The sequence below is a fragment of the Homo sapiens genome, chromosome 1, assembly GCF_000001405.40.
Source record: "Homo sapiens chromosome 1, GRCh38.p14 Primary Assembly".
Taxonomy (NCBI): Eukaryota; Metazoa; Chordata; class Mammalia; order Primates; family Hominidae; genus Homo; species Homo sapiens.
Window position 1 is genome coordinate 158117769 of NC_000001.11, and position 27916 is coordinate 158145684.

Here is a 27916-nt window from a genome sequence, read left to right on the forward strand (position 1 = left end):
TAAAAAATCTTACAAGGCAACAATAACAAAAATGGGGAGGATCAGGGAGAAGAGAGTAGGAGTGGAAAGAGTCTGGGCAGGAATCTAGGGCATGAGAGAAACCCGGTGAGAAACTAGAATTCTGTCAGCTCCTAGATCAGAACCAGGAGCGGGGTTGGTCTCCTCCACCCTCTGCACTGCTTCTCCCCCAGGGGGAGCTGCAGAGAATCCCGTGCCGGGGCAGCGCAGCCCTGAGTGGTCTGTTTCTGGTTCTGGCTTCCCACAAAGCAAACAATTTTGAACCAGGCACCAGCGCCCCCTGCATCTGTCATCCTTTAAGGGAGCCACTACTCAGTCCTGAGAAGTGTTTGTGCCTCAGTTAGAGCTCGCCCCAGTTCTTCCCGGCTCCTTAGTCTGCCCCAGCTTGCTGCCAGCTTGGCCCAGCCCCTCCCCTCTCGCAGTTCAGCACCCGCTGCCTTCCATATCCCCCACCCCCAGCCCCAACACACGCAGTCTGGAGGTTGCCATACTAGGAGAAGGGTAAGGCAGGGCACAATTTGTCTTCGTGTAATTATCTGTCAGGTACAGCTTGTGAAACCTCAGCCACCTCCCTGCAACCATGCAGGAAAATAAATTACACACGAGCACGCAGAGACACGGCGGCACCATCTTCCCCTGGGCCCCCAGCGAGCTTGGGGGAAAAAATTCTGCTCAGCCGAGCCCAGGGTGCTGATACCTGCACTGGAGTCGGCCACCCATCTTCCCCTCTTCGAGACCCTGCCGCTGAAGCTTTCATCTTTCAGCGTGTTCCTTGCTGTGGAGGAGGGGAAGTCCATCTGGCTTCTAAGAAGTCATGAATGCCCAGAGAGAAAGAAAACAAACCCTTGGCTATTTCTGATTAGAGTTGTTGGAGGTGGGAGAGAGGCCTTAGGATTGCCTATAATTTCTAAAATGGACTGTAATGCAGCTACACATGCAATATACTGAGTCCCTGCTCTGTGATAGTGATAGTGATGACAGCCACTTTTTAGGAGCCAGCCTGTGGGTCCCAGGCACCACGCTGAGCGCTTTACACATGCTTTCTTGTTGGACCCACACAATAAAACCCTGTGGAATGGATGTTTATCCTCATTGTGGTGATGAGGACTTGGAGGCTCAGAGACGTCGACTGACTTGCTCCCAGTCACACAGCTGGTTGTACCTAACTCGCAGTCCAATTTTTCACCATTAGCAGATGGGGCTCTATGGGGGAGTGGTGGGGGGTGGAGGTGGTGGTGAATGGGAGGCGGGGCCCTTGACTGCAGAGTGGGAGGGGGTGGGCTGGGGTAGCTGTTGCTCACTTCCTTGTGAGCTTCAGTTTCTTCTCTTGAGATCTTTTTGGATCTTTGTGAGAATTAAACGAAATAACAACTCTTGGTACTTATTGGAGCTCAATAAATTAGGTGACTCATCCTTCAGACCTCCGTTGCCCCACTGCACAGAGAGGAGCTTGGTGCTGGGAGCTTGGTTGGTCCCTGAGGACTCAGAGGAGCATTTTGGGTTAGGGGGTCCTGACTTTTTCTGTGTCCAGGCCCCCTTTGGCAGTCTGGTGAAGCCTGTGGACTCCTTACAGTGTTTCCAAATACAGAAGCTGAAATATATAGGATTACAAAGGAAGCCAATCTTACTGAAATACGTTATTGAAAGCATCAAAAAACAAATTTGTGACATAGTAATCTACTGCCTTCTTTAATAATGCATTCAATAACCAGATCTAGTGGCAGACCTAATAACTACTATAATTTCCAAGTTGTGATGAGTATAAACAATATTTCAAGAGACTACAACAACTGATAGAATATGGAAACATTTTGATTTCTATTAGTGACAGAGACACAGGTATTGCTAATACTATTGGGGCTTGTAATAAACATCTACTAAGTTCACTCAGAGGTTAGTGAAAATCTAGTCATCCTCCCATCCAAGTACTAAGAACCCTCAAAACGTATCCATGGATCCCAGGTTAAGAGTAGAAGTAACTGGTTGAAATCCATGTTAATGTAAATTTTTAAAGTACAAGCTAGAGGTATTTTTTAAAGGAATAGATAATTGGGGAGATCAAGTAAAGCCTTTCTTCAGACAGAGGGGATTTGACAGTATGAGTGCCTACCTTTTGCTTTGTTCTACCCCAAAGAGATTTTTGGAATATACAGGGCATTTTTATGGACCTGGGACCATTTTTATGGACCAGGCTGGTGAACTGTTCAAGAGCCCTAAGGGGTAAGCATTGGAAGCAGGGCTCAAACCCTTCAGTGCCCCTGACCCCGATCCTCTGTGAGCTCTGCCTCCCTGGGCAGGGTGTCTCAGGTCCCCCTCTTCCTCTGCCCACACGGTTGAGCCCTGCTCCCCTACTCCTGCACGCTGTGCGGTTCCTCCTGTGTGGCTCACTGTGACACAGCTGTGAGGAAACCTTGCTTGAGATATTTGTCTGGGTGGCAGTGGGGAGCCAGCCTCAGAGGAGCTGTGGCAGCCCCTTCAAGCTGCAGAGAAAGGCAGGGTTACCATTCATTTGGGACCAAAAAAACAGTGGCATTTACTGGGGATGAGGGAGTGGGGGTCAGAGGCCCTCTTGGTTCTCCTCTGGCAGATTGGGTAAATTGGGTTGAACAAAGCCACTCCCGCAGTTCAGCACCTGCTGCCTTCCAGCTGTGCTTCCAGTGACCAGAGCTGCCCACATGATCTCACTGGGAATTGAGGTGGTGTCTTCTGGGGTCAGACAGTGGAAAGAATGCAAACCTTAGACTCAGCAGATCTGGCTGCACCTCTGACTTGCTTTGAAACCTTCAGCAGGTTACTTTACTTCTCTCAGCCTGTTCTTGTAGAAAGAAGACTAGCTTCCTCTCAGTATTCTTAGGAGGACTTGGGATAATGTAGGTAAAATCATTTTTAAACTCTAAAGTGTTAAATAGGCACTCATTAACAGGAAAGTACAATTTTTCCCAAATCACATTTGTATGGCTGTCTTCTAGAACCATTTCACTCAGATTGAGCATTAATTGAATCAAGGAGACCAACTAAACTCCAAGGAACATGCTCTTGCTAAATCACTGCTCCTTTCTGAACCCAAGCCAGGCATATTGTTTTTTCTGCATATATTAAAAAGGATCTACCGATGTATGAAAAGGATGTAACTATTTAGCTTTTGCTGCCTGAGACAGTTACAGTAAGAAATACTGAAGGGCACTTTAGACTTCACAAAGATCCTTTCTGTCTCTTTCCTTAGCTCCTTACAATCCTATGAGATGTGTGTATTTCTTTTTTCCTCTCCATTTTACACAGGAGGAAACTGAAGCTCACTTACACAGGGAATTAGTGACCAGGTCAGTCTAGGAGTCCATCTTCTGACTCCTTCCAGTATCTAATTAGAATTAAGACAGACTCATTCGGCTGGGGGGCGTTGGCTCATGCCTGTAATCCCAGCACTTTGGGAGGCCGAGGCGGGTGGATCACTTGAGGTTAGGAGTTTGAGACCAGCCTGGCCAACATGGTGAAACCCTGTCTCTACCAAAAATGCCAAAAATTAGCCTGGCATGGTAGCACATGCCTGTAATCCCAGCTACTCAAGAGTCTGAGGCAGGAGAATCGCTTGAACCCGGGAGGTAAATGTTGCAGTGAGCCGAGATCGCACCACTGCACTTCAGCCTGGGCAACAGAACGAGACTCCATCTCAAAAAAAAAAAAAAAAAAAAAAAAAAGACAGCCTCATTCGGGAGATTCGGGGGGTGGAGGTAGCAGTGTTTAAAAAAAAAAAAGCCTAGGCAGGCATTACAATATGAAAATCATTCTTGCTTAAAGGAAGACTGGTAACTGGGACTCTGCATGGATGTGTCCCCTATTCCCCTATTCTTGGTGTTTATCATCCCCATGGCCGGGTCAGCTGCCCCTGTTTACTCATGGTTGGAAAATGTCACAGCTCCTAAAACAGCTGTTTAAGGGACACATCATCTGAAGCGACTTTTCCTGTTCTGGAAGTGCCCATTTTAAGAGCTTAATTTGGTTTTTGTCCTGAGCCCACTCTGCTGTTCTATTTGTGTGGGGTTTCTGCCCTCAGGTGGTGAGAGAGGTGAGCTACAGGTGCGCTAACAGGTTCTGGGAACTCAGCTGTTGCCGATGGGCACCTTACTGTGATGTGTCTAGTTGGACTTGTCACTCACTGTGTGGTGCTCTTGACACAGGGGTCTTCCCCAGGTACAGATGGGACCTTGTGTACCCAGATCTTGGCTTCCGGCAGGAAAGCATCTTTGTACTCCACAAAGTTTTGTTTCCCAGACACTAGATCTTGACTGAATGCCAGAGAAAGCCAAGAACTGCTCTGAGCTGATGTTGGAGAAAGCAGTGTTTCAAAAACCTTGCCTAGGCATTTTATATGAGGTGTCTTTTTAAAGCCTCAACTATCCTGTGAAGTAAGTGTTGTGTCCATTTTACAGATAGAGATGGATAAGATAAGGAAATTTAAACTAAAGAGTTTAAATCAGTGGTTCTCAAACTTTTTAAGTCTGCCTTTACAATCTTAAAAATTATGGAGGATCCCAGGCCAGGCGTGGTGGCTTACGCCTGTAATCACAGCACTTTGGGAGGCTGGGCGGGTGGATCATGAGGTCAGGAGTTCGAGACCAGCCTGTCCAATATGGTGAAACCTCGTCTCTACTAAAAAATACAAAAATTAGCCAGGCGTGGTGGCACGCACCTGTGGTCCCAGCTACTTGGGAGGCTGAGGCAGGAGAATCACTTGAACCCAGGAGGCAGAGGTTGCAGTGAGCTGAGATCACGCCACTGCACTCCAGCCTGGGCAACAGAGTGATACTCCATCTCAAAAAAAAAAAAAAAAATTATGGAGGACCCCAAGGAACTTCAGTTTGTTAGAAACTAACACTAAACTTTTAAAAAATACTTATTTTATGTAAAAATAACTATGATAAACTTATTATATATTAACAGAAATAACATATTTGGAAAGAAGAATAACAGTGTTTTACATGTTTGCAAATCTCTTTAAAATGCAACATGTAGTCTTTCAAAAGCTCTTCTGTACACTCATGAAAGAGAGTGAAAAACATATTAATATTTTTATTAAAATAGTTTCCATTTCATGGATCCCTTGAAAGGGTCTTGGGGTATCCTTAGGGATCCCAGAACCATACATTGAGAACCACTGGCTTAGGTAATTTGCTGTGGATGCACAGCTGGTATGAATGAAGGGTGGAGCCAGCATTCCACTCCCAGTTTCTCTGAAACACACCTCCACACTCAGGCCTCCCCCACTTACCCCTGGGCACCAGAGGCCTGTGTAAAGTGAGAGTGAAGTTCCGGGTGGGCCAAGGAGCTTCTGGCTCTGGCACTCCATGAGTCTGTCTGGATGATGGCAGCTCTGGGCAGTGCTGATTCTATGGCTGCTGCCCCTGCCCACTTAGGGAATCCACAGTTTTTGAGCTTCAGTGGGCTGGAACAGTTAGAGAGCATCTCTCAATCGCTTGAGAAGACAGCTCTGTGACTCCCAAACTTTTCTAGGTTTCTCACCCCACCCCCAATTTGTGGCATCACCTGTTTCAGCTACTGACCCAGCCAGCTGATGCTCCAAGTTAGGAAGATGGGAGTCAGCAAAGGTCCTTATTGGTATCGCCTGCTTTTTGACAAAGTTCTGAAGATGGACCCCTTTGAATTCAACTTCTACCTCTCCACACACACTCTTAAAAAACTGTTGAACAGGCTGGGCGCCATGTCTCATTCTTGTAATCCCAGCACTTTGGGGGACAAGGTGGGTGGATCTCCTGAGATCAGGAGTTCAAGACCAGCCTGGCCAACATGGCAAAACCCCATCTGTACTAAAAATACAAAAATTAACCAGGCGTTTTGGTGCACGCCTGTAATCCCAGCTACTTGGGAGGCTGAGGCATTAGAATCACTGGAACCCAGGAGGCGGAGGTTGCGTGAGCCCAGATGGCACCACTGTACTCCAGCCCGGGCAACAGAGTGAGACTCTGTCTCAAAAAACAAAAACAAAACAAAACAAAAAACAAAAAACTGAGCAGAGAAATATTTACAAAAGGGCAGTTCAGGTGGAAAATATAAACAGGCAAAGTCAGAGAAACAGGAAAGAACCAGGAACTATGGAACATTTTATGATAAAACTATAGCATTTTAACTTATCTTCTTGACTTAATTTCTCCCTATTTCTTACCAAAGGGTAATTAGGGAACTTTGGAAAGTTTTTGATAAAACTTTGGAAACCTTTATGATAAAACTATAGCATTGTAGCCTATCTTCTTAATTTTTCCCTATTCCTATTCATCAACCATGCCAGATTAACCTTGAGTGTTTATTTCATGTGTCACTTTCCTTCCCTGGCTCCCTCTAGCTTGAAATTGAACACCTTAGCCTGATATTCAAGGTCTCTACCATAGGCGAGTGCTATTTTCTCACCTGACTCCCCATTGTTTCCCTGCATGCGTCATGCAGCTGGCTCACTGCCCCCCTGTCATGCCTCATGAATTCCCTTCCACTCTTAAGTCTATGCTAGCTGTTTCCCTAACATTGCAGCTGCTTCTGGATGCTTTCCCTAGCCCACAAGGACCCTTCAGGCTTTAGAATGCCAACACCCCATCCTTGGCCTGTCTCAGAAACCACCTGTGGCTGCTGTTAGTCCAAGGGAAGCCCTTAGCCACATCTGGAACTAAAGCTCCTCAAAGAAGGGATTAACATCTCATTGCTCTTCACCACCTTCTCTCTGCCACCCATTGCTCACTGGCTGCTTTATGATGGTCAGTGCTTGTTGACTTGATGCCTACAGGTGCAGGAGCTGGAGCTGCCGACAGACCTCTTGGAGGGTGTTGGAGAAAAGCCATAGGAGGTAAGGGAGGCAGACACAAGGCACCCCTGGCAGAGCATCTCCCTAAAGAGAATACTATAAATTAATGCCAGCAGCATTTTAGAGCAAAATGATTTCTGATAGAGAAAGAAGAGCTTCCTCGAAGCTGAAAATGTCTTATTCCATGATGAATGCAGGGAGCAGCATGGGAGAGGAAAAGAATTCAGGCTCTGCTATGAGCCTTTGAACAGATAACCAGCCTCCCTGATGCTCCGAGCCTCAATTTTCCTTGTATAGGAGGGATAATGCCCTTTTCACAGCATAGCTAGGTAGCAAAAAGATACCATATGTTAAGAACCAGTGTATAATTGATGCTCAATATATAACACATGTTTTTAAAATTCTGAAATTTCCAACCCTGGAGAACTTCTGGAAAAGAGATTCCCATTATTGTGGATGACTTGATTATAGGCCTTTATGGAGGTGGAGGGAGGGACTGACTATCCAGCTGAGTCCCTTTGCCTTTGCGGGTGCTACAAGGACCAGGTTTGCTGATGTTTTGCTGCCATCTGATGGCCATAAGCTTACAGTGCAGCCTGGCCGGTTTGTCCTTAAGTCTGAATAATAGAAACAGAAGAATGTAGGCGGGGCTTGAGGAGTTTGGGGAGTAACTAAATCCTGGAGGATGGAAGGAAATGGCTTTGAGTTCCATGGGAGGAGGGGAACTTTGAGTCTCTGGGAAGTGTGAAACAATCTGGGCCAGGAGTCTTTTTTTTTGTTTTGTTTTTGTTTTTGTTTGAGACGGAGTCTTGCTCTGTTGCCAGGCTGGAGTGCAGCGGTGCGATTTCGGCTCACTGCAACCTCCGCCTCCCGGGTTCAAGAGATTCTCCTGCCTCAGCCTCCAGAGTAGCTGGGATTACAGGCATGCACCACCACGCCCAGCTAATTTTTGTATTTTTAGTAGAGACTGGGTTTCACCATGTTGGCCAGGATGGTCTCAATCTCCTGACCTCATGATCCACCCACCTCGGCCTCCCAGAGTGCTGGGATTACAGGCATGAGCCACCGCGCCCGCCTGGCCAGGAGTCTTTTAATACATGCACCTAACTAGTAAGTGCAGAAATGCACCAGCTGGAAGGAGCCTTAGAGATCTATCCCCATCCCCCCTCCACAGCTCAGTCACCAGTGATTACTGCCCACCAGGGTTCTGTGAGATACAGTCCCACCTATGTCTCCAGCCTCATAATGCTTTATTTTTGTGTTCAATTTCTGTGTTCCAGAACTGCTGACCATCTTTCTATCCCATTGACTGCTCCCTTCACAGGCCTTGGCCGGTGCTGTCTCTCTATCCGGGGGGCCTGGCCCTTCTTTTGCCCCTCACCTGTTTCTCATTCACTCACCCTTCAGTTCTCAGCCCAAGCATTACTTCCTCAGGTAAACTTTCTCTGTCTAGGTCAGATTCCTTTCATATATACTCTCATAAAGCCAGATTCCTTTTTCAGAGCACTTTTCTCCATTTATAATTAAAAAATCATGTATGCGGTTATTTCGTTAACATCTGTCTCTCTCACTGTGCTGTATGGGCTCTAGGAGAGAGAAGATGGGCACCTTTCTGCTATTCTTGTATCCCAGCATCCAGGACAGGGTCTGGTACACAGTGAGAGCTCAGTAAATATCTGCTGGGTGAATAGAGGCATCTGCATGATAGGAAAGAAAGATTTGAAGAGTGTTAGGAGTGCTGAAGATCTTTCTGCCAATTCTAAGACATGCACAGACCTTTGGTGGAACTCCTCCCCAACAAGGAAAGGCATGGAACCCATGCCCACTCATGTCAAGACACCACTCCCCATCCCACCCCTAGCATGCACTATTTTCCAAGCACACCATGCTTGGGAGGAATGCTGGTGGCTTTTAATAAAGAGGGCCTCAGCTGTCAGAGGCAACCGGGCTATGTCTTTCTCAGTCATGAGGCTTTTCAGTTTCATCTGCCAGCTACTTGGTGGTTTGTTTCTGCCAAAGCTGGTCAACCACAGAAACAAACACCCACCGCCACCATTGGCAACAGGCACTCCAGGAGGCAGGTGAGAGCCCTCACTGGGGTGGACTCCCCTTGGGTCTGGTAGCAACCCTAGCCTCTCTACAGCACCAAAGGACCAAGCTTCCAAATTTCTATGGGCTAAAGTGGGGGTGAAAGAGTGACCCATGCTTTGAGATGCAGAGTGCATGGCCACATACCCCGAGTGACTTATTCTTCCAGTGGCCAAACACAGTTCCATGATTGTAAGCAATGGAGGAAAGGTTTAGAGGGAAGGGGCCCTGGTTTAAGACTTCCAGAGTCAAATGCATGTGAGGGTTGAAGCAAGAGGACACCTGATATGATGCTTCTAAAAGGAAGGGTTAACAATAGACTGGGCAAAGAGGTTCTTCTCCTAGAAAAATATTCATTCATTTCAGGCAAGTAGTAAAATTCTCCCTAGGGTTACCCAAACCGAATTGAATAAGAGTTTGGTTTTTCAAAAAAACTGCCTCTTTAATTTGGATTTCATTTGAAAAAGGAGTTAACTTGCTCCAAATTCTGAAAGGACAAAAAAAGAAAAAGAAAAATTATCATTTTAGGATATGATATTTTAAAATTTTGTCAACCCACTAAGTTGGAGGGTGAGAGAGGAGAGAAAAATGTATGGTACTTCAAATCATTTCTTAATAAAAAAAATACATTTTACTCCCAGCATTAAGTGAAGAGGAGGAAAGAGTGTACCTACAATTCAGCAGAGAGTGAGCCATTTCATTTTAAGGATCTTCTGGAAATGAGCTTCCAGAATAGCTTCATTATATAACTTGAGATGCTGTGAGCTCCCAATAATTTCAATATCCCACAGTCAGCACATGCCCAATTTATAGAGGAAAATTTAGGCTTTGTAATCAATTTTTACTTTTCCATGTACTTGTTTCTTTCCTCTGTTAGTGCAGAAATCAAGAGCCATTTACTATTTCAGTCTTGAAGATCCACAAAAAAAAAAAAAAAAAAAAAGACATTCAAACTCAGAAGCTGGGACAAGCCAAAGAACCGCAGGAGGAGTGCATTATAAGAGGGATGGTGGCAGAGGAAGGAAATGAGGCCTGGGGGGACATCTGGCAATGGAGGAACAGGGTGGCTAAAGCAGCTCTGGCTCCCCTGGCTCTGGGCTCTGAGACAGCTCCAGTGGCCGTGCCTCTCTTGTACAATCAGGTCTTCACCTCAGTGGAGTCCCCACCAAGAGATCCAGATCTTTATGGCAGCCATGTTGCCTCCTTTCTTGGGTGTGTCTCTCTGTTCTTGTTGCTTTTGTCTTTGGTTACTTTCCAGACCAGGATGAGTAGAGTGACCAGAGTCATCAGGGGTGTAAAGAAGAAGAGAACATTTACCAGGCAAGCAGGATTAGATATGGCAGTGGTGAGTGTACCCTTGTCCCATAAGAAAGCTGGAAGTTGTGGGGAGGACATAAGCTTCCAAAAAGAGCTGAGATAGGTACGTGGTGCAAGCCGACTGCCCACACCACCAAGAGAATTGGGCTTGCTCTTGTTGTATCCTAGGAGTGGATATGGTACAGCGACCAAACATCTACTGATTCCATTCTTCACATGGGGCTATTCTCCTTTGGATGTAATGGAGAAGGCATAGACGTTTGCTCAGCAAGGCCAAACAACTGCTTCCAATACAAACACAGATGATAGTTCCGTTAGCAAAACTTCTGCATGGTCGGTGGGGCTTCTGAGGCTTTGTGATGTCACTGGAGGGTGAGACTAGGGCCTGAGCCAAAGGTTCCAGGCTGGAAACCTGTGCTCTCTGAGCACCATCTCCCCTCACGTATGGCCTCCAGATTGAAAAGGGGGTTCCCCAGTTGCCTGTGATGATGCCCCTTCAGTTCTCTTTTATTCTTTTTTTTTGTCCTCTTTTTAAAAACCTTTTGGATTTAAAATAATTTTAGACATACAGGAAGTTGCAAAGATACTTAAAAAGGGTCCTGTGTACTCTTCACTTAATATTGCCCTATAGTACACAATCAAAACCAGTGAATTGACATTGGTACAATGTGTAGTCTATGCCGTTTTATCATACCTGTAGATTCTTGCAGCCACCGCTGCAATCAAGATAACAGAACTATTTTATCACCACAAAGATCTGGCCGGGCCCAGTGGCTCATGCCTGTAATCCCAGCACTTTGGCAGGCGGAGGTGGGTGGATCACCTGAGGTCAGGAGTTTGAGACCCGTCTGGCCAACATGGTGAAACCCCATCTCTACTAAAAATACAAAAAAATTAGCCGGACGTGGTGGCAGGCGCCTGTAATCCCAGCTACTCGGAAGGCTGAGGCAGGGGAATTGCTTGAACCAGGGAGGTGGAGGTTGCAGTGAGCCAAGATGGCGCCACTGCACTACTGGGCAACAGAGTGAGACTCCGTTTCAAAAAAAAAAAAAAGATCAGCTGATGTCCATATTCTATCACTTCAATACAAAAGTAGAAACCTTACCTTCTTGTAAGTCCCTTGTTTTTTCCACTTATGATATAATTGTATTAAATATTTCATCTATATACATTGAGATCCACATTCAGGCCATGTTATACTTTTTGCTTCAGCCATCAAACAATTTAGAAAACTTAAGAAGATAAGGAAGTCTGTGTATTTACACAATTTAAAGTTATTCAGCTTGGGTCATTTCTTTTTTTATTTATTTTTTTTTTTTTATGAAGTCTCGTTCTTCTCCCCCAGGCTGGAGTGCGATGGCGCAATCTTGGCTCACTGCAACCTCCACCTCCCGGATTCAAGGGATTCTCCTGCCTCAGCCTGCCAAGTAGCTGGGATTACAAGCATCCGCCACCACGCCCAGTTAATTTTTGTATTTTTAGTAGAGACAGGGTTTCATCATGTTGGCCAGGCTGGTCTTGAACTCCTGACCTCAAGTGATCCACCCACCTCGGCCTCCCAAAGTGCTGGGATTACAGGTGTGAGCCACCGCACCGAGCTTGGGTCATTTCTACAGTTCTGTTTTCAAGTTCATGGATTCTTTCTTCTGTCCCCTTTGTTCTGCCATTGAACTCATCCAATGGATTTTTTTTACTTTGGTGGTTATATTTTTCAGTTCTAAAATTTCCATTTAGCTTCTATTCAATAAGATTTTCTATTTTTTGTGCCAAGAGTATTCATATCTTTGTCAGATAATTCCAATATCTGTGTCATCTCGGTGTTGCCATCTGCTGATTTTTTTTTTCATTCAAGTTGAGATTTTCCTGGTTCTTGGTGTGATGTGTGATTTTTTAATTGTACACTGGACATTTTGGGTGTTATGAGACTCTGGATCTTACTTAAATCTTCTGTTTTAGCAGGCTTCCTCTGACACCATGCCTGTTAAGGGAGGGAGTTTCATTTTGCTAATGCCAAGCAAGGGTGAAGGTCCAGGTTCTCCACTCAGCCTCCTTTGACTACCCAGAGTGGAGAAAAAGGTGCTTTACTGGTGGATATGGGATTCCAGACTTCCCAGATGGCCTCCTCTGACTTCATCCTGGCAGAGTTGGAAGGGTGCCTTGTTACTGCTGCTGGATAGAGAGCTCGTTACCTCTGGATAGGGATGAAAGTCCCAGCTCCCCACTCCATATTCTCTGATAACACCCTGGTGAGGGGTGGAGTCTGGGGAGGGTACCTCCTTACAGCTAATTAAAGGTGGAAGTTTAGGCTCCCCACTTGGCCTTTGCTAACAGGGGTGGTGGTAGGGCTGTGATATTTTTCCATGGTGTTTGGCTAGAGTAGGAAAGTTATTCTCTAAAAGTTTCTGCCTTGCTGAATTGCCTTCCTAGTGCTTTGGCTAAAGAGAACAAGCAGGCTTTTCTTGGGACCTTATTTTGTGCATGCTCTTTGGCATTTCTGGGCTGCTTCTCTAGCACCTAGTTCAGGATTTGCGAGGCAAAAAGAAAATCCACAAACTCACTGCCATTCAATTCTTGGGTTCCAAAATCAAGGTTCCAAGGTTGCTAGTCAGTCTGCTTCTTTTTCTGCACCTTTCTGTCTTTTTATGTTAGTTTTATATATAATGTCCAAGGGCTTTAGCTGTGTTTAGTTTAGCAGGAGGAATGGGAAGAAGTGAATCTACTCCAAGTGCATCCACTCTTCTTTGTGTAGAACCCCTTGGTGCTATACCAAGGGTCAGGCAAATGATGGCAGTGCGGGAGTTACAGGAATTGAAGTCCAAGGACTCAGATCAGAGTCTGGGCACTAGTACTTTACATGCTAGTGACCTTGGTTAGGTCATTTAGTGTCTCTGAGCCTCCATTTACTCATCTGAAATGGAATTATAGTGATAATACCAAATTTATAGGTTTTTATGAGAATAAAATGAGCTGATAAATGCATAATAACTTTCAAACCATAAAATTCCATACAAGTGTAAGTTATTTTAAATACGATCTAGGATGGAGGTGAAGGGAAGTGAACAGGGGGTTTCTGGAAAAAATAAGGTAGTTCAACTTTTCTCAAGTCAGTTCTCTCACTCTCTTATAAACATGCAAAGATCTATAAGTAAATTGCCCCCCACCCCCAGTTCCAAGGTATCTATGTCAATTCCCTAGAGCATGGGAATGTCAAAAGATGTGATTAAATTAAGGATCTCGAGAGGAGAAGTTTATCCTGGATGATCCAAGTGGGGCCTAAATATAATCACATATATCCTTCTAAGAGAAAGGAGAAAGGAGTTTTGAGAGAGACAGAACACAAAGGAGAAGGAGACAGAGCAGAGAGAGAGACACGGCCACAAGCCAAGTAATGACAACAGTCACCAAAAACTGGGAGGGGCAAGGAGTGGATCCTCCCCTATAGCCTCTGGAGGGAGCCTGGTATTTATATCTTGATTTCAGACTTTTAGCCTTCAGAGCTGTGAGAGAATGAATTTCTGTTGCCTTGAACCACCAAATTTGTGGTAATCTATTATGGCAGCCCCAGGAAGTTAATACGGGAACCTTAGAGAGGTCATCTATTCCCACTCCTTCACCTAATAGATGAGGAAACTGAGGCATAAAGAAGGGAAGTGACTAAAGTCACACAATTTTTGGCACACTAACAGGGTCTTGCTCTGTTGCCCAGGCTGGAGTGCAGTGGCATGGCCTCAACCTTCTAGGTTCAGTTGATCCTCCCACCTCAGCTTCCCTTGTAGGTGGGACTACAGGCGCATGCCACCATACCTACAGCTAGCACCACCACACCCAGCTGTTTTTGTTTTGTTTTGTTTTGTATTTTTTGCAGAGACAGAGTTTCACCATGTTGCCCAGGCTGTTCTCAAACTCCTGGGCTCAAGCTATCTGCCCACTTCAGCCTCCCAAAGTGTTGGTATTACAGGCATTAGCCACTGTGCCCAGCCTGTGTCTTCTTTTTAAAACATCTTTATTGAGATATATAATTCACATACCACACAGTTCACTCATTTGAAGTGTACAATTCGATGTTTTTTTATTATATCCAGGGGATTATTAAAACATCGCTATAATCTTATTTTGGAATATTTTCACCACCTACCCCAAGAAACCCCATACTTGTCAGCAGTTTTGTCTGAGTCCTTTCTGGTTCCCTGTTTCAGGCATATTGGTTTCTTCTCCCCAACCAGACTTGGCTTCGCAGTGCCTTGTCTTTTGTATTCCTCTCTCATTGCCTAGTCAGCTGCTTCCCATGAGGCCATGGTTTGACTGGTTGCCCCAAACTCCCTTTACACGAGGAGTTCATCATTCTTTCTGGCTGGCACTGAAGATTCTTTGATGGGGCTCTGGCCCTGGTAGTTGGACTGCTGACCTGTGGGAAAACCCCACAACACATCATCCGCTGAACCAACCCTCAAAGGCATCAAGGTTGACTTGTTCTTCATTTATGTCTAAAGAGAAAGAGTCTGGAAACTGAGTCACACTGAAGGGCCAGACAGCTTTGGCTCCCTCTAGTATCTTCAGAGCAAGCTCCACTGGCTCACCTACCACTCCACTGAGGAAAAGCTGACCACTGGTGAGGGCTGGCTGGCACCTCTGGATGACCTAGAGGGCTGTATCTGGAAGCCTAAGTAGAAAAAAAGAAATAGAACATGCCATTGGGGGAACACTTTCTCTACATTGCTGGTGTTTTCTTTCTTGGGGCAGAAACCCTATTAAACAAACACTCCTGGCCTCTCTAGGCTCTGGCTGTCACTCTTGGCCCCAGGATGCAGAAAGCACCCCATGCACCTGCTGCTTTCTGTACATTTCCCAGGGCTATGTCCCCAGGAGTGAGAGACCTGTGTTTTCCATCGATAATTATGTTGGGTGGTGAGTCAGTCCACCATGTTTTTTTTCAATCAGTTATAAAGGTGAGTTTTGCTATCTGCCTCATTTCTTTGTCTCCGCTGGTCCAAAACTTGGATGAGAAAAAGAGACACGTTTTATATTAAGGTGGAAAATGGAGACATTACGTACCAACCACTTAAACCTCAAATACCTGAGTCCTCCATGGACTCTGAACCAGGCCCTGAGTTTTCTCACCTTGATGATGGCAACAGAGTTCCAAGAGCGTCCCAGCTTCCAGTGTCTCTCATCCCTTGAGAGCATTTAATTTACATTTCTAATGTGGAAGAGAAGAGATTAAAGTTTACCGAACCTCCACTAAGATGATTTCCTAGGTGCTTTGACATGGTGTTTTATTTATAACAACAACTCTGAGAGATAGTAACAGCAATAATTTACTGCATTCTTTCTTTCTTTTCTCTTTTTTTTTTTTTTTTTTGAGATGGAGTTTCACTCTTGTTGCCCAGGCTGGAGTGCAATGACACGATCTCAGCTCACTGCAACCTCTGCTGTGCTGGTTCAAGTGATTCTCCTGCCTCAGCCTCCTGAGTAGCTGGGATTACAGGTGCCTGCCACCACTCCCGACCAGTTTTTTTAAAAAATTATATTTATTTATTATTATTATTATTTTTTGAGACGGAGTCTCGCTCTGTCACCCAGGCTGGAGTTCAGTGGCACGATCTCGGCTCACTGCAAGCTCCGCCTCCCGGGTTCACGCCATTCTCCTGCCTCAGCCTTCCCAGTAGCTGGGACTACAGGAGGCTGCCACCATGCCCGGCTAATTTTTTTGTATTTTTAGTAGAGATGGGGTTTTGCCGTGTTAGCCAGGATGGTCTCCATCTCCTGATCTCGTGATCCACCCATCTCGGCCTCCCAAAGTGCTGGGATTACAGGCGTGAGCCACCGCACCCGGCCTCCCGACCAGTTTTTGTATTTTTAGTAGAGAAGGGGTTTCATCATGTTGGTCAGGCTGTTCTCGAACTTCTGACCGTAGGCGATCCACCTGCCTCGGCTTCCCAAAGTGTTGGGATTACAGGTGTGAGCCACTGGCATTATTTCTTTTCTTATGCTAGCTACTGGGCTGTTATACCTGCATCAGCTCGCTTTGTCCTTTTGGCTAATTGAGGCTCAATGAGACTGAGTAATTTGCTCAAGTTCATGCAGAAATTAGTGCTAGAATCAAGAATTTAGTTTATGATTAAAAAAATTTTTCCAGCACAGTGCTTTTTTTATTCTCATGCTTCTTCTGTTGTAGTACTGTTCATGTATCTCTGAGAAATCTAGAGTCATTAGCTTTTTTCTAATTTTTATTTAAAAAATTTTTAAAGTAAAAATAATATATTTTTAAGGTATGCAACATAGTTTTTTTATATACATAGTGAAATGAGTACCACCGTCAAACAAATTAACATGTCCACTTCCTCACATACTTATCTTTCCTTTTTTTTTTTTTAAGTGGTAAGAGCCCATGAAATCTACTCTCTTAGCAACTTCCCAGTTTATAGTACAGTATTATTAATTATCACCAATGTATATCTTGTGCCATTGCAAACTCATTCTTAGGGGCTTGTAGTGCCTTCTACTAATTACCTGTTCAATTACTCCAGCCAGTGGTTTGTGTTTTTTTGGTTGTTTTTGTTTGCTTGTTTTTTGAGACAGAGTCTCGCTCTGTCGCCTAGGCTGAAGTGCAGTGGCGTGATCTCGGCTCACTGCAACCCCCACCTCCCGGATTCAAGCTATTCTCCTGCCTTAGCCTTCTGGGTATCTGGGACAACAGGTGTGCACCACCACGCCTGGCTAATTTTTGTATTTTTAGCAGAGATGGGGTTTCACCATGTTGGCCAGGCTGGCCTTGAACTCCTGACCTCAAGTGATCCACCCACCTCAGCCTCCCAAAGTGCTGGGATTACAGGCGTGAGCCACCGCACTGGGCCACAGCCAGTGTTTTCACTTGACTGCCACATACCTCTTTGCCCTGCCCTCTTTCCTTTTTCTATCTCAGAAGAATTCCTCCCACCTGGGACACCTTCCCTTCCTGTTCTTAAAGACAAAACTTAAAGAACAGGAAGGGAGGTGTCCCAGGTGGGAGCAATGAAGAAGTCAATGAAGACTGAGAAGGTGCTACTTTCTGATCACCCTAAATCAATGTTCTCCCAGTCCACAAGGCTGTTCATTTGTTCTTTCATTAATTCATTAATTTATTTATCCCAAAACATGTATTGAGCTTGCTTTTTTAAAAAAATTAATTAATTAATTTTTTTTGTTGTTGTTGTTGCCAAGGAGAAAGAGCCAGGAGCTCTGGAAGAAGCAATGATAAATCAGAGGTGAAATTTTGGGGAGCTTACATAATAGTATATGGCTGGGTTGTCAGGTTGAGGCAGGGATGATATCATAATCCTTCACTAGTGTAGGAACACTTGAGGATTAAGGCAGGCAAACAAATATGTAATGAATGCTACATTTTAAAAATTATTGCCAGCTGCGTGTACATTATCTCACTTAATGTCCAGCGTGTCCCTCCTTCTGGCTGTGTTCTGGGTCCCATCCCTTTGGCCTAAGGGATTCTTGCTTTCTCTCTTTCAGAGTCTCTTTCTCTCTCTCTTTCTCTCTTTCCTATGTTTGTAATGTCTTTCTTTCTGATAGCTCTTTCTCCTCAGCATAGAAATGTTTATTTATTTATTTATATATAAATTTTTATGATACTTTAAGTTTTAGGGTACATGTGCACAACGTGCACGTTTGTTGCATATGTATACATGTGCCATGTTGGTGTGCTGCACCCAGTAACTCGTCATTTAACATTAGGTATATCTCCTAATGCTATCCCTCCCCCCTCCCCCCACCCCACAACAGGCCCTGGTGTGTGATGTCCCCCTTCCTGTGTCCAAGTGTTCTCATTGTTTAATTCCTACCTATGAGTGAGAACATGCAGTGTTTGGTTTTTTGTCCTTGGGATAGTTTGCTGAGAATGATGGTTTCCAGTTTCATCCATGTCCCTACAAAGGACATGAACTCATCATTTTTTATGGCTGCATAGTATTCCATGGTGTATATGTGCCACATTTTCTTAATCCAGTCTATCATTGTTGGACATTTGGGTTGGTTCCAAGTCTTTGCTATTGCGAATAGTGCCTCAATAAACATACGTGTGCATGTGTCTTTATAGTAGCATGATTTATAATCCTCTGGGTATATACCCAGTAATGGGATGGCTGGGTCAAATGGTATTTCTAGTTCTAGATCCCTGAGGAATCGCCACACTGTCTTCCACAATGGTTGAACTAGTTTACAGTCCCACCAACAGTGTAAAAGTGTTCCTATTTCTCCACATCCTCTCCAGCACCTGTTGTTTCCTGACTTTTTAATGATTGCCATTCTAACTGGTGTGAGATGGTATCTCACTGTGGTTTTGATTTGCATTTCTCTGATGGCCAGTGATGATGAGCACTTTTTCATGTGTCTGTTGGCTGCATAAATGTCTTCTTTTGAGAAGTGTCTGTTCATATCCTTCGCCCACTTGTTGATGGGGTTGTTTGTTTTTTTCTTGTAAATTTGTTGGAGTTCATTGTAGATTCTGGATATTAGCCCTTTGTCAGATGAGTAGATTGCAAAAATTTTCTCCCATTCTGTAGGTTGCCTGTTCACTCCGATGGTAATTTCTTTTGCTGTGCAGAAGCTCTTTAGTTTAATTAGATACCAATTGTCAATTTTGGCTTTTGTTGCCATTGCTTTTGGTGTTTTAGACATGAAGTCCTTGCCCATGCCTATGTCCTGAATGGTATTGCCTAGGTTTTCTTCTAGGGTTTTTATGGTTTTAGGTCTAATATTTAAGTCTTTAATCCATCTTGAATTAATTTTTGTATAAGGTATAAGGAAGGAATCTAGTTTCAGCTTTCTACATATGGCTAGCCAGTTTTCCCAGCACCTTTATTGTAATAATATTTTTGAGCACTTACTATATGCCAGGCAGAGATACCATATGTGGTTAGTTGAGTAATAACCCCCCAAAGATGTCCACATCCTAGTCCCCAGAATCTGTGAATAAGTTACCTCATATAATAAAAGGGACTCTGCTGATATGATTAGGGATCCTGAAATGAGGAGACTGTCCTGGATTATTTGGGTAGGCCCAATGAATTCACAAGGGTTCTTAAAAAAAATCAGACATAAAGCAATGTGACAACAGAAGCAGAGAGAGGGAAGGGGTAGTGGGAGAGAGAGAGACAGACAGAGAGAGAGAGATTGGAAAATGGTAAACTGCTGGCTTTGAAGACTGATGAAGGGATGCAAACCAAGGAATATAAGAAGACTCTAGAAGCTGGAAAAAGAAAGGAAATAGATTCTCCCCTAGAGTCTCCCCGAGAAATGCATCCCTGCCAACCCATTTTAGAACTCCTGATCTCCAGAACCATAAGGCAGTAAATTTGTATTATTTTAAGTCAATAAGTTTGTAATAATTTGTTACAGCAGCAATAGGAAACTAATACACCATGCTAAGTCTCTCTTATTTAAAAACCAAACCAAACCAAACCAAAACACTGAACAGCAACTCCCTTGCTCCTGTGTTCTCTCCTACTTTCCATCAAAGCCAAGCTTCCTGAAAAGTGCTGCCTCCATCCCCTCCCTTCCACATGCTCTGAAACCCACTTTGATTTTTCTTCCATCCTCACCACTCAATTTTTCCCAGGGCCAACAACAAACAACTTCATCCCATATATAAGAGCACTTTCCAATTCTACCTTGACATAGCAGAATTGATCAATTCCTCATTCTCTAAACCTCTTTCTCCTCTTCGCTTCAGGGGTGGCATGCCCACACAATTTTTCTCCTATTTCAGCTCCTCCTCTGCCTCCTGCCTCCAGTTCTCCTTCTGTGTGTTTGGTGTTTCCCTAGTGTCCACCCTCAGTCTTTTTCACTTTTGAGATCCTCTCTGGGTTATCTCGCCCATTCTCATGATCTCAATGACAGCCTATGTTCCAATGGCTCTCTAACATATATCTCTACTCAGATTTCACTCCTAACTCCAGACTCATATAGGGAACTTCCCATTGTCTTGTCTAGTTGAATCTTCCCACAAGCATCTGTAACCCATCACACCCAAACCCACCCTGATTATCTTCTCATTCAAATCTGCTTCTCCTCCATACCCTACCTCTAAAACAAAGAACCTGGGATTCATGACTGCTCTTTCTTCGTGACTCTCTGCACTGATTCAATTTCAATGTCCTGTCAATTCCACTTCTGAGACACCCCCCATACCCATCTCTTCCTCCTTATCCTCATTGCTTCTACCTTAGTTCAAGCTTTCACTTCCTGGTCCTCATCAGTTCTTGCCTGGGTCACCACAACAGTTTACCAATGGTCTTCTTACTTCTAGTAGTCTTATTCTGTTATCATCCATACTATTCAATGTTAATGGAATAATACACATAAATAAGTCAGGCCACTTCTCTCCTCAAAATCCATCATTTGGGTCCCTGTTGCCTTTAATATAAGTCCAGATGCCACCATAGGGCTTATAAACTCTACATTCATGACATGCTTTTCTGTCCACTGCCTAGTCTGTTTTCCTGTCCTTCTTTCTCGGGCATCTTATATTCCTTTACAAAAGACACTTTACATCAATAGCAAGTTCCAGGTAATGAAGTGGTGAAGAGCAGTGACTCTGGACTCAAACTTTCTGGTTTGAGTCTTGGCTTCATCACTTGTTAAGAAAACTGCAAGTTTGTTCAATTTATGTAGTTAGCCCTTCCACGCCTCAGTTTCCTCATATATGAAAGGGGGCATAGGCCCTATTTCAAAGATTTGTGGTTGAGCTCTTAATGTAGCACCCATCCCAGGATAAGTGCTCAGCAAGGGCTTATGTCTATGATCGCCTGGCTTCTGTACCTGGTGTTCACTCTGTCTGCAATTCTGCATCACCTCCCTCCACCCTTCTCTGCTCGGTCACCCCAACTTTAAGACTAAGCCAGTGTTGTTTTCCTTGGGAAGCTTCCCCTGACCTCCTCCACTTTCTGGCCATAAATGTATAACCCTATCATAGTGCTTAGTGCTGAAACTGTTTCCGTCTTCTCACTAGATCGTGAGCAACTTGAGAGCAGGAATTAAATCTTTAAGTATCCACAGAAACTTGCATATAAATATTCCTCACTATATATTCATTGGGTGAACAGATGAGTGCAATATTCTAGATTAATTAATGTTTTATTTAATCCTGGAACTTTTTTTTTTAGACAAAAATGCTGCCCCTATTTTAAAGAACAAAATAGATAACCCAGGGTAGATAATATGGGGAGAATTTTATGTCTGGAGCTACTTCCTGGGAATGATATTCTGTTTCACCCCAGGGTTCTGAAGGCCAAGAGGCATTTTTTTTCTGGGGCACAACTGTTGCTTTCTGTTCCATTGTGGAGGTGTGGAGAAGAAGAGAAAGAGAAGGAATGACAGGCCCTAGCCCCTGAGAACTCTACCTTAGTGTCCAAGCATAGGAATATCCTTACTTTGGGGAAGTTTTCATCACTCACTGTGTCCCTAGTAGCATGAAGGGCCCCAGCTGGATGTACATTAAAGCCCTCTCAGCCCTTCCAGGTCAGTTAATATTAATAGTATTTTGTTGAACAAATAAATGGTGGAATGTTGCATCCAAAGGCTGTTGTGTAGTAGTAGAAGAAGCCATAATTTCCCTTTCATTATAGTCAGTTGGTGGGAAGGGAGCTCCTACTGGCTGAGTCAGGCTTTTTTTTTTTTTTTTTTTTTTAAGATGGAGTCTTGCTCTGTCACCAGGCTGAAGTGCGGTGGCACAATCTCCAGTCACTGCAACCTCCACCCCCCAGTTTCCAGCGATTCTGTTGCCTTAGCCTCCCGAGTAGGTGGGACTACAGGCGTACACCACCATGCCTAGGTAATTTTTGTATTTTTAGTAGAGACGGGGTTTCACCATGTTGACCAGGATGGTCTCGATATCTTACCTTGTGATCCGCCCGCCTCGGCCTCCCAAAGTGCTGGGATTACAGGTGTGAGCCACCCCACCCGCCCGAGTCAGGCTTTTAATTAACCAAGAAAAGCCTTGTGAGGAATGGAGCAAAAAGTTCAGGATAATACACCATCCTTAGCTGTCTCATAGTTTTCTCTTTTGCAAGCCTTTACAGGATGGGGTTGACCAAATAAATCTGATTTATAGAAGTGCAGATTCAAACATAGCCCTTGAGATATTCAAATATTTTTCTGCAAACATAATCTGATATGTGCAGCAGGAATAAAGGGCAGTGGCTCTCGAGGAGGAGGGAGCTGCAGGGATGGTGGTGTTATCAATAGGAGTCCAGGCTTTTTCCAAACACACACAAGCTCCCTCTTCCTCAAAACCATAAAAAAAATTCGTTCACAAGTTTAGTCAACTAATATTGTGTGCCTTTTGTACACAAGGTATTTTGGGTGCAAACATGAACAAAACGGGCTCACACTGTCTCAGCCCTCACGGGGCTTAGTCTAGTCTGGGAAGACAGACTAATTTGAAACATAATTGGGAAGCGCTGTGATGAGGAAGGCACAGGGAGCTTTGGAAGCAGAAGATTAGTCTCCTACCTTAGGCCTGGCAGTGTCTGGACTCCTTCCTGATAGTGGTGCTATCTACACTGAGACCTAAAGAATGAGGAGGAGCTAGCCACAGAAAGATGGGGAAAAGAGAGAAAGGGTTGAGGTGAGTGACAGGTGTGCTGGGCAAAGGAAACAGCATCTGTGTAGCAGAATGTTATGTATCTGGAACCCTGGAATTGTCAATTATGACCTCAAACTGAGGACAAACAGGAGCATTCACATAACTATGAAGCAGGACTAATCACCAATCCCACCATGGGCAGGACAGCAGAGATCGTCACTATGCTAACTGCCAGGAATAGGAATCCACACACTTCCGCCCACTGCATCCTGGCCTGAAGTGCTACCAGTGTCTGTTGGAGACACGCTCACATGCAACAAGTAATGTGAAGTGGCTTTAGTATAATACAGACAGGCAGCAAGGGACAAAAGAAGCCTAGGATCCATTGTGAGGCAGTCCTCAAGGCTCAAGACAGCTGTCTGGGAAGGTTGGAGTCTTGACTGTACATGCCCCCCACACAACACAGCTGAGAGGCCCTGAAAGGCAATTCCTCCTGAGTTACATATCTCAGGGGTCATGTGATTCACTGGGCAAAGCTGAGAAGGGTATCCTGCTTCTAGAGGAGAGAGGAATAAAGCCTGGGCTGTCCCAGGCAGCTTCTCTCTAGCTCCAGATGTTACTTTTTCTAGGAGGGACAGAAACGAGGCTTGGGCTGTTTCAGGCAGTTACTGCCTATTTTGGGTTTGTTTGTTTGAGAAGGTGTCTTGCTCTGTTGCCTAAGCTGGAGTGCAATGGTATGATCTCAGCTCACTGCAACCTCCGCCTCCTGGGTTCAAGCTATTCTCCTGCCTCAGCCTCCCGAATAGCTGGGATTACAAGTGCCTGCCACCATACCTGGCTAATTTTTGTATTTTTAGTAGAAACAGGGTTTTACCATGTTGGCCAGGCTGGTCTCGAACTCCTGATCTCAAGTGATCTGCCTTCCTCGGCCTCCCAAAGTGCTAGGGTTACAGGCATGAACCACCATGCCAGGCCTATTTTGGGTATTACGTTTTCAGCATATTCTACAGTTTTTTTGAGAACTGCAAGCAAGAAAGGGGGTGAGAATTAGGTCAGTCCAAGGCCCCCTGGAGGACTGTCCTGCGGTCACCCCCCACCAACCCAGATATCCCTCTTAGCAAAGCTAGTGCATTTCGTACGTCCACAGACTTCCCCAGATCTGGAGGTAGAGGTTTGCCTTGTCAGGCCGATGTGACACCTTCACTGACACAATCTTGGTGCAACATCACTGAGTGAGCCAGAGTACATTTTATTAGGCCCAGGAGTATTATAACCACAAGCAGGGTGGCTGTACCTGCCTGAGCAGTGACCTACCCAAGGTTCCAGTGATCCAGATAAGAATTCATTAAAGAGGCCAAAGAAGGATTCTTCAGTTGTCCCCACTGTCTGCAGCAAGGTGGGGCTGCATTCGGATCTCCCCTACCTGTGTCTCCACAATAACTATCTATCTATCTATCTATCTATCTAGAGCAGGAAGTGTTGGCAATGACATTCCTCCTGACTGGTCTGAAAGGAAGCCTAGAAGAATTCTGTTGTCCAAAACAACTTTCTTGAATAAGTTGAAGGATATCTGCTGGGCTGCTATGGCAGGGGCGGGGGCAGGGGCAGGGTCAGTGGAAGAAACAATATCTTTCATGGTCAGGGACAGATTTTTTTTTTTTTTCAGCTCTGACTCCTATGTATGGTACCAAAGCTCTCATAAAGGACATAATTCCAGAGTCAGCTCCTCCTCCTAGCAGGTCCCTAGGTAGCCTGGTGTACAAGTTTAGGCTGCTGGCCCAACAGTTCATCTCACCCCAAGGAGTGCTGTCTAGGGGCAACTCCAGCAGGCCCAATGTATGGAATCCCCTCATCCATCAGCTTTTCAGGCATGACATTGCCCCTCCCATATTTGGGTCACCTCCAGCTGCCCTCAGAGAAAGATGTAGCCCTCGGGTGCACACAGCATCCATTCCCGTTTCATTGTTCAGTGACCTGTTCATAGTACGTAGGCATTGGCATGCACCAGCTAGGCCTCATTAATCACATAGTTGTATGAGCTGAGTTCTCCCATTCGATATTGCTCATGAAGCCCTACACAAAGGACTAGCATTTGTTCAGTCCTTGTTTTTGTCATCACTGCTGGGACATTTCTGATCCAAGTAGTCAAAGGACTATGTTGCGTCAAAGCAGCAGCCCACCAAGGTTTTGTTAGATGTGGTTGTGACACTTTGAGTCAGTTAAGTTGTAACAGGCACCTCTAGCCCCCTCTTAAGTGGCAAGTGCCAGATCCTCACTCAGTAACCAGGGCTTGGATTCTGTTAGTGTACGTTGTGGCTTTAGGAATGCTGGTGTACTTTACCATTGGCAGGATGAGAGGGTCTGTGTGGTCTGCAACAGAACAAAGTCTGGGATGGAGGATCCAGCACTTAGTCAGGCAACCTGCAGTGGTCACAGCTTGGGAATGCCTAATGAAAGTGTTATGCTCCAGGCTTCTACTGCCATGTCCTCATGGAAGAAGTAGATTGACAGGTTACTTCCCCTTCCCCTTCCCTGAGGTCCAGGTAGTTCCTGCCTAACAGATAGGGGTTGGGCTGAGGTGGTGTAGTGATCCAGTCTGTCCCAGTTCCCAAGCTACCACCTCTGTAGGCACCATTACCCTTGTTGCTTGACCCAGGCCTTGCAGCCTCAGTTATCTAGCCCATGTAGGGAAATTACGTTGGGTACAAATTTGACATCTGATAACACTACCCACCTGACTGGAAAGATCAGACATTCCCAGTGCCAGTAGAGGAACCCTAACACCTGGTACTCCTTGATTCTGTCTCCCACTCCTGTAGTATCCCATAGAAGGGAGGCAGCAGGGGAAGTATCACCTGAAGATTAGAGTTGGGGAGGCCCTGTTCAGGGTGCCAAAATGGCCTGAATCTCGAACTTACCTCCAGAATATGCACTCTTAAGGGAAAACAGAAGAAGAATGGTTGGGAATACTGAGATTAGGATTTTCCAGGCATAGCCTAATCAGGTGGTTGCCTGGTTCACCTCCATCTCCACCAAGCTCAGTGTTTTCCCAACATGTGCTGCAGTGCCATGTTTCTTTTGCATTGGAGTGTAGAATTTAGTGTCCATTCTGCTCTAGTCAGATGCAGGTATTCCACACCAGCAGGCTGTCTTGATGTCCTTTTTTCATTGCTGTCTGAGCCAGCTAGCGATTCCAGTGTTCAATAGCTCCATTGGCCTGCACATAACAGGGTGCATGGAAAGTCCATGATACTCCCTAAGAGTGTGCCCATCACGTTCCCTGGGCAGTGAAGGATGTTCCTTGGTCAGAGTAAAGTCCCATGAAGTGTCCAAAAATATGACATAATTTCCTCTCAAGGGGCTCTATGGTAGTCCCAGCATTCACATGAGTGACATATATGTCTCCCTTCCAAGCAGCAAGCTGCTGCCATAGTCCTATTCCCCATACAAGGAATCCATTAATAGTCCAGTCACTTAGTTGCCATTCCTCTGACTGAATGGCTAAGTTGTTGGCAACAGCCCATAAATTTGTGAAAATATAGCAAGATACGATGGTAGAGGTGGCCTGGATGGCCATCATCATTTCCTGTAGTTTGACCCATTGGGCAGAACATTCATGTTCAGTCTCAGTCAATATATGACCATCCCTTGGCCAGATGGCAGCCACAACCTCGTGGACCTGTCTTCTTGTTTTACAGCTCCGTCAGTAAACCTGCCATGCCATCAGTAGGCAAGTCTCTGAGTCTTGGGCCCTGGATGGCCTCAGAGGGAGCCAAGCCAGCCATTCTGGAGCATTCAGTATGGCTAGCTTTGCTCCTTCTGATAAGCCAGCCATTTGTTTATGGAGCATACTGGTCCCCTGGGGTCCTGGCTGGGCTCAATCTTGAATGTACCATTTATATTTGATAACTGATATCTGTCATGCACATCCAATTGTATAGTTGGGGTTTGTGAGCCCTCAAGTGGGAATGGCCACTTCAGGTTACAGTGTCACATGTGTCCTTCAGGCTGTAAGATGTTCAGTCCCCAAGAGTGCCCAATAGCAAGCAAGGGGTTGAATTCAGAACAGACGTATCTGGTGGCTGCCTCAGGCAACTTATGTGTTTATTTATTTATTTATTTATTTTTTGAGACAAAGTCTCGCTCTGTTGCCCAGGCCGGAGTGCAGTGGTGCGATCTCAGTTCACTGCAACCTCTGCCTCCTGGGTTCAAGTGATTCTCCTGCCTCAGCCTCCTGAGTAGCTGGGACTACAGGCACACACCACCACACCCGGCTAATTTTTGTATTTTTAGTAGAGACGGTGTTTCACCATGTTGGCCAGGATGGTCTCTATCTCCTGACCTCATGATTCATCCGCCTCGGCCTCCCAAAGTGCTGGGATTACAGGCGTGAGCCACCATGCCTGGCACAACTTATGTGTTTAAAATGAGAGGCTGGTATAACCCAATGGCAGTTTTCTGTTGGCACAGACTCCAGTCAGCAGGCATGGGGGTTGTGGACCTCTAACTCCATTAAGCTAGCAGGCTGTCAAGGTTTTAAAGTCAATGCCTGGGCCACAGCTTTTTGAATGGCTTCCAAGGCCTGCCATTGCAAAGGGCTCTTTGTTCAAAGTGGGGAATTTGTTGGTCACTTTGACTAAGGGGGCCAGAAGGACACTTAGGTAAGGTACATACTGTTGTCAGTATCCAAAGAGGTTGACCAGCTGTTGGGCCTCCTTTTTATTAGTGGATGCTATGAGGGTTAAACATTTTTGCTTGACTTTATCTGGGATACTTCTTTGGCTTCCAGCCCAGATGGCCTTGGCATTCAGCCTGGGACAGTCCATTGTGAGTCTCCATGCCCCAAAGGCATTTCTGACTGGCCAAATTGGGCAGTTACACTGTGAAAGCATAGCTTATAACATTTTTATCTGTAGCAAGTTTTGAATTAGCTAAGTAATGTCCTGTTCTCCATTTAATATGTAATACTGCTTTTTTTTTTTAGTAACCCAATGGGTCCTGAGTAGCTTAGGTGGCAGGCAGGAGTGCCTATACCCCACTGTTAATGGCTTGAACTCTTAGCTGTGAAAGGACATACCCCCTCAGGCAGTGGTGATATTTTGTTCCAGAAGCAG

At 45.1% G+C, this 27916-nt stretch overlaps 1 protein-coding gene and 2 long non-coding RNA genes across 3 annotated transcripts in view, besides 1 other annotated feature; 1 reads left to right on the forward strand and 2 right to left on the reverse strand.

Moving 5' to 3' along the window:
* Positions 7312-7481: a silencer, noted in NCBI's record as "silent region_1448". NCBI's record gives its function as "represses an Ori minimal core promoter by ATAC-STARR-seq in GM12878 lymphoblastoid cells {active_cell/tissue: GM12878}" and the evidence as "EXISTENCE:reporter gene assay evidence [ECO:0000049][PMID:35858748]".
* Positions 9519-10533, reverse strand: SMIM42 (small integral membrane protein 42). The gene has a single exon (NM_001395415.1). The coding sequence runs from the start codon at positions 10304-10306 to the stop codon at positions 10094-10096; it is 213 nt and encodes a 70-aa protein (NP_001382344.1). The 5' UTR covers positions 10307-10533; the 3' UTR covers positions 9519-10093.
* Positions 10534-14275: 3742 nt separating this feature from the next.
* On the reverse strand, positions 14276-22872 carry LINC01704 (long intergenic non-protein coding RNA 1704). The gene is made up of 3 exons (NR_033946.1): positions 22730-22872; positions 15347-15425; positions 14276-14888 (listed from the first exon to the last, which is right to left on the reverse strand). It is a non-coding gene; the product is annotated as a long intergenic non-protein coding RNA 1704 (long non-coding RNA).
* Positions 22873-22956: 84 nt separating this feature from the next.
* LOC105371460 (uncharacterized) overlaps positions 22957-27916 on the forward strand; it is a 32490-nt gene continuing 27530 nt past the window's right edge. The window contains exon 1 of the long non-coding RNA XR_922187.3: positions 22957-23229. This is a non-coding gene — a long non-coding RNA (uncharacterized LOC105371460). The remainder of the gene's footprint in view (positions 23230-27916) is intronic.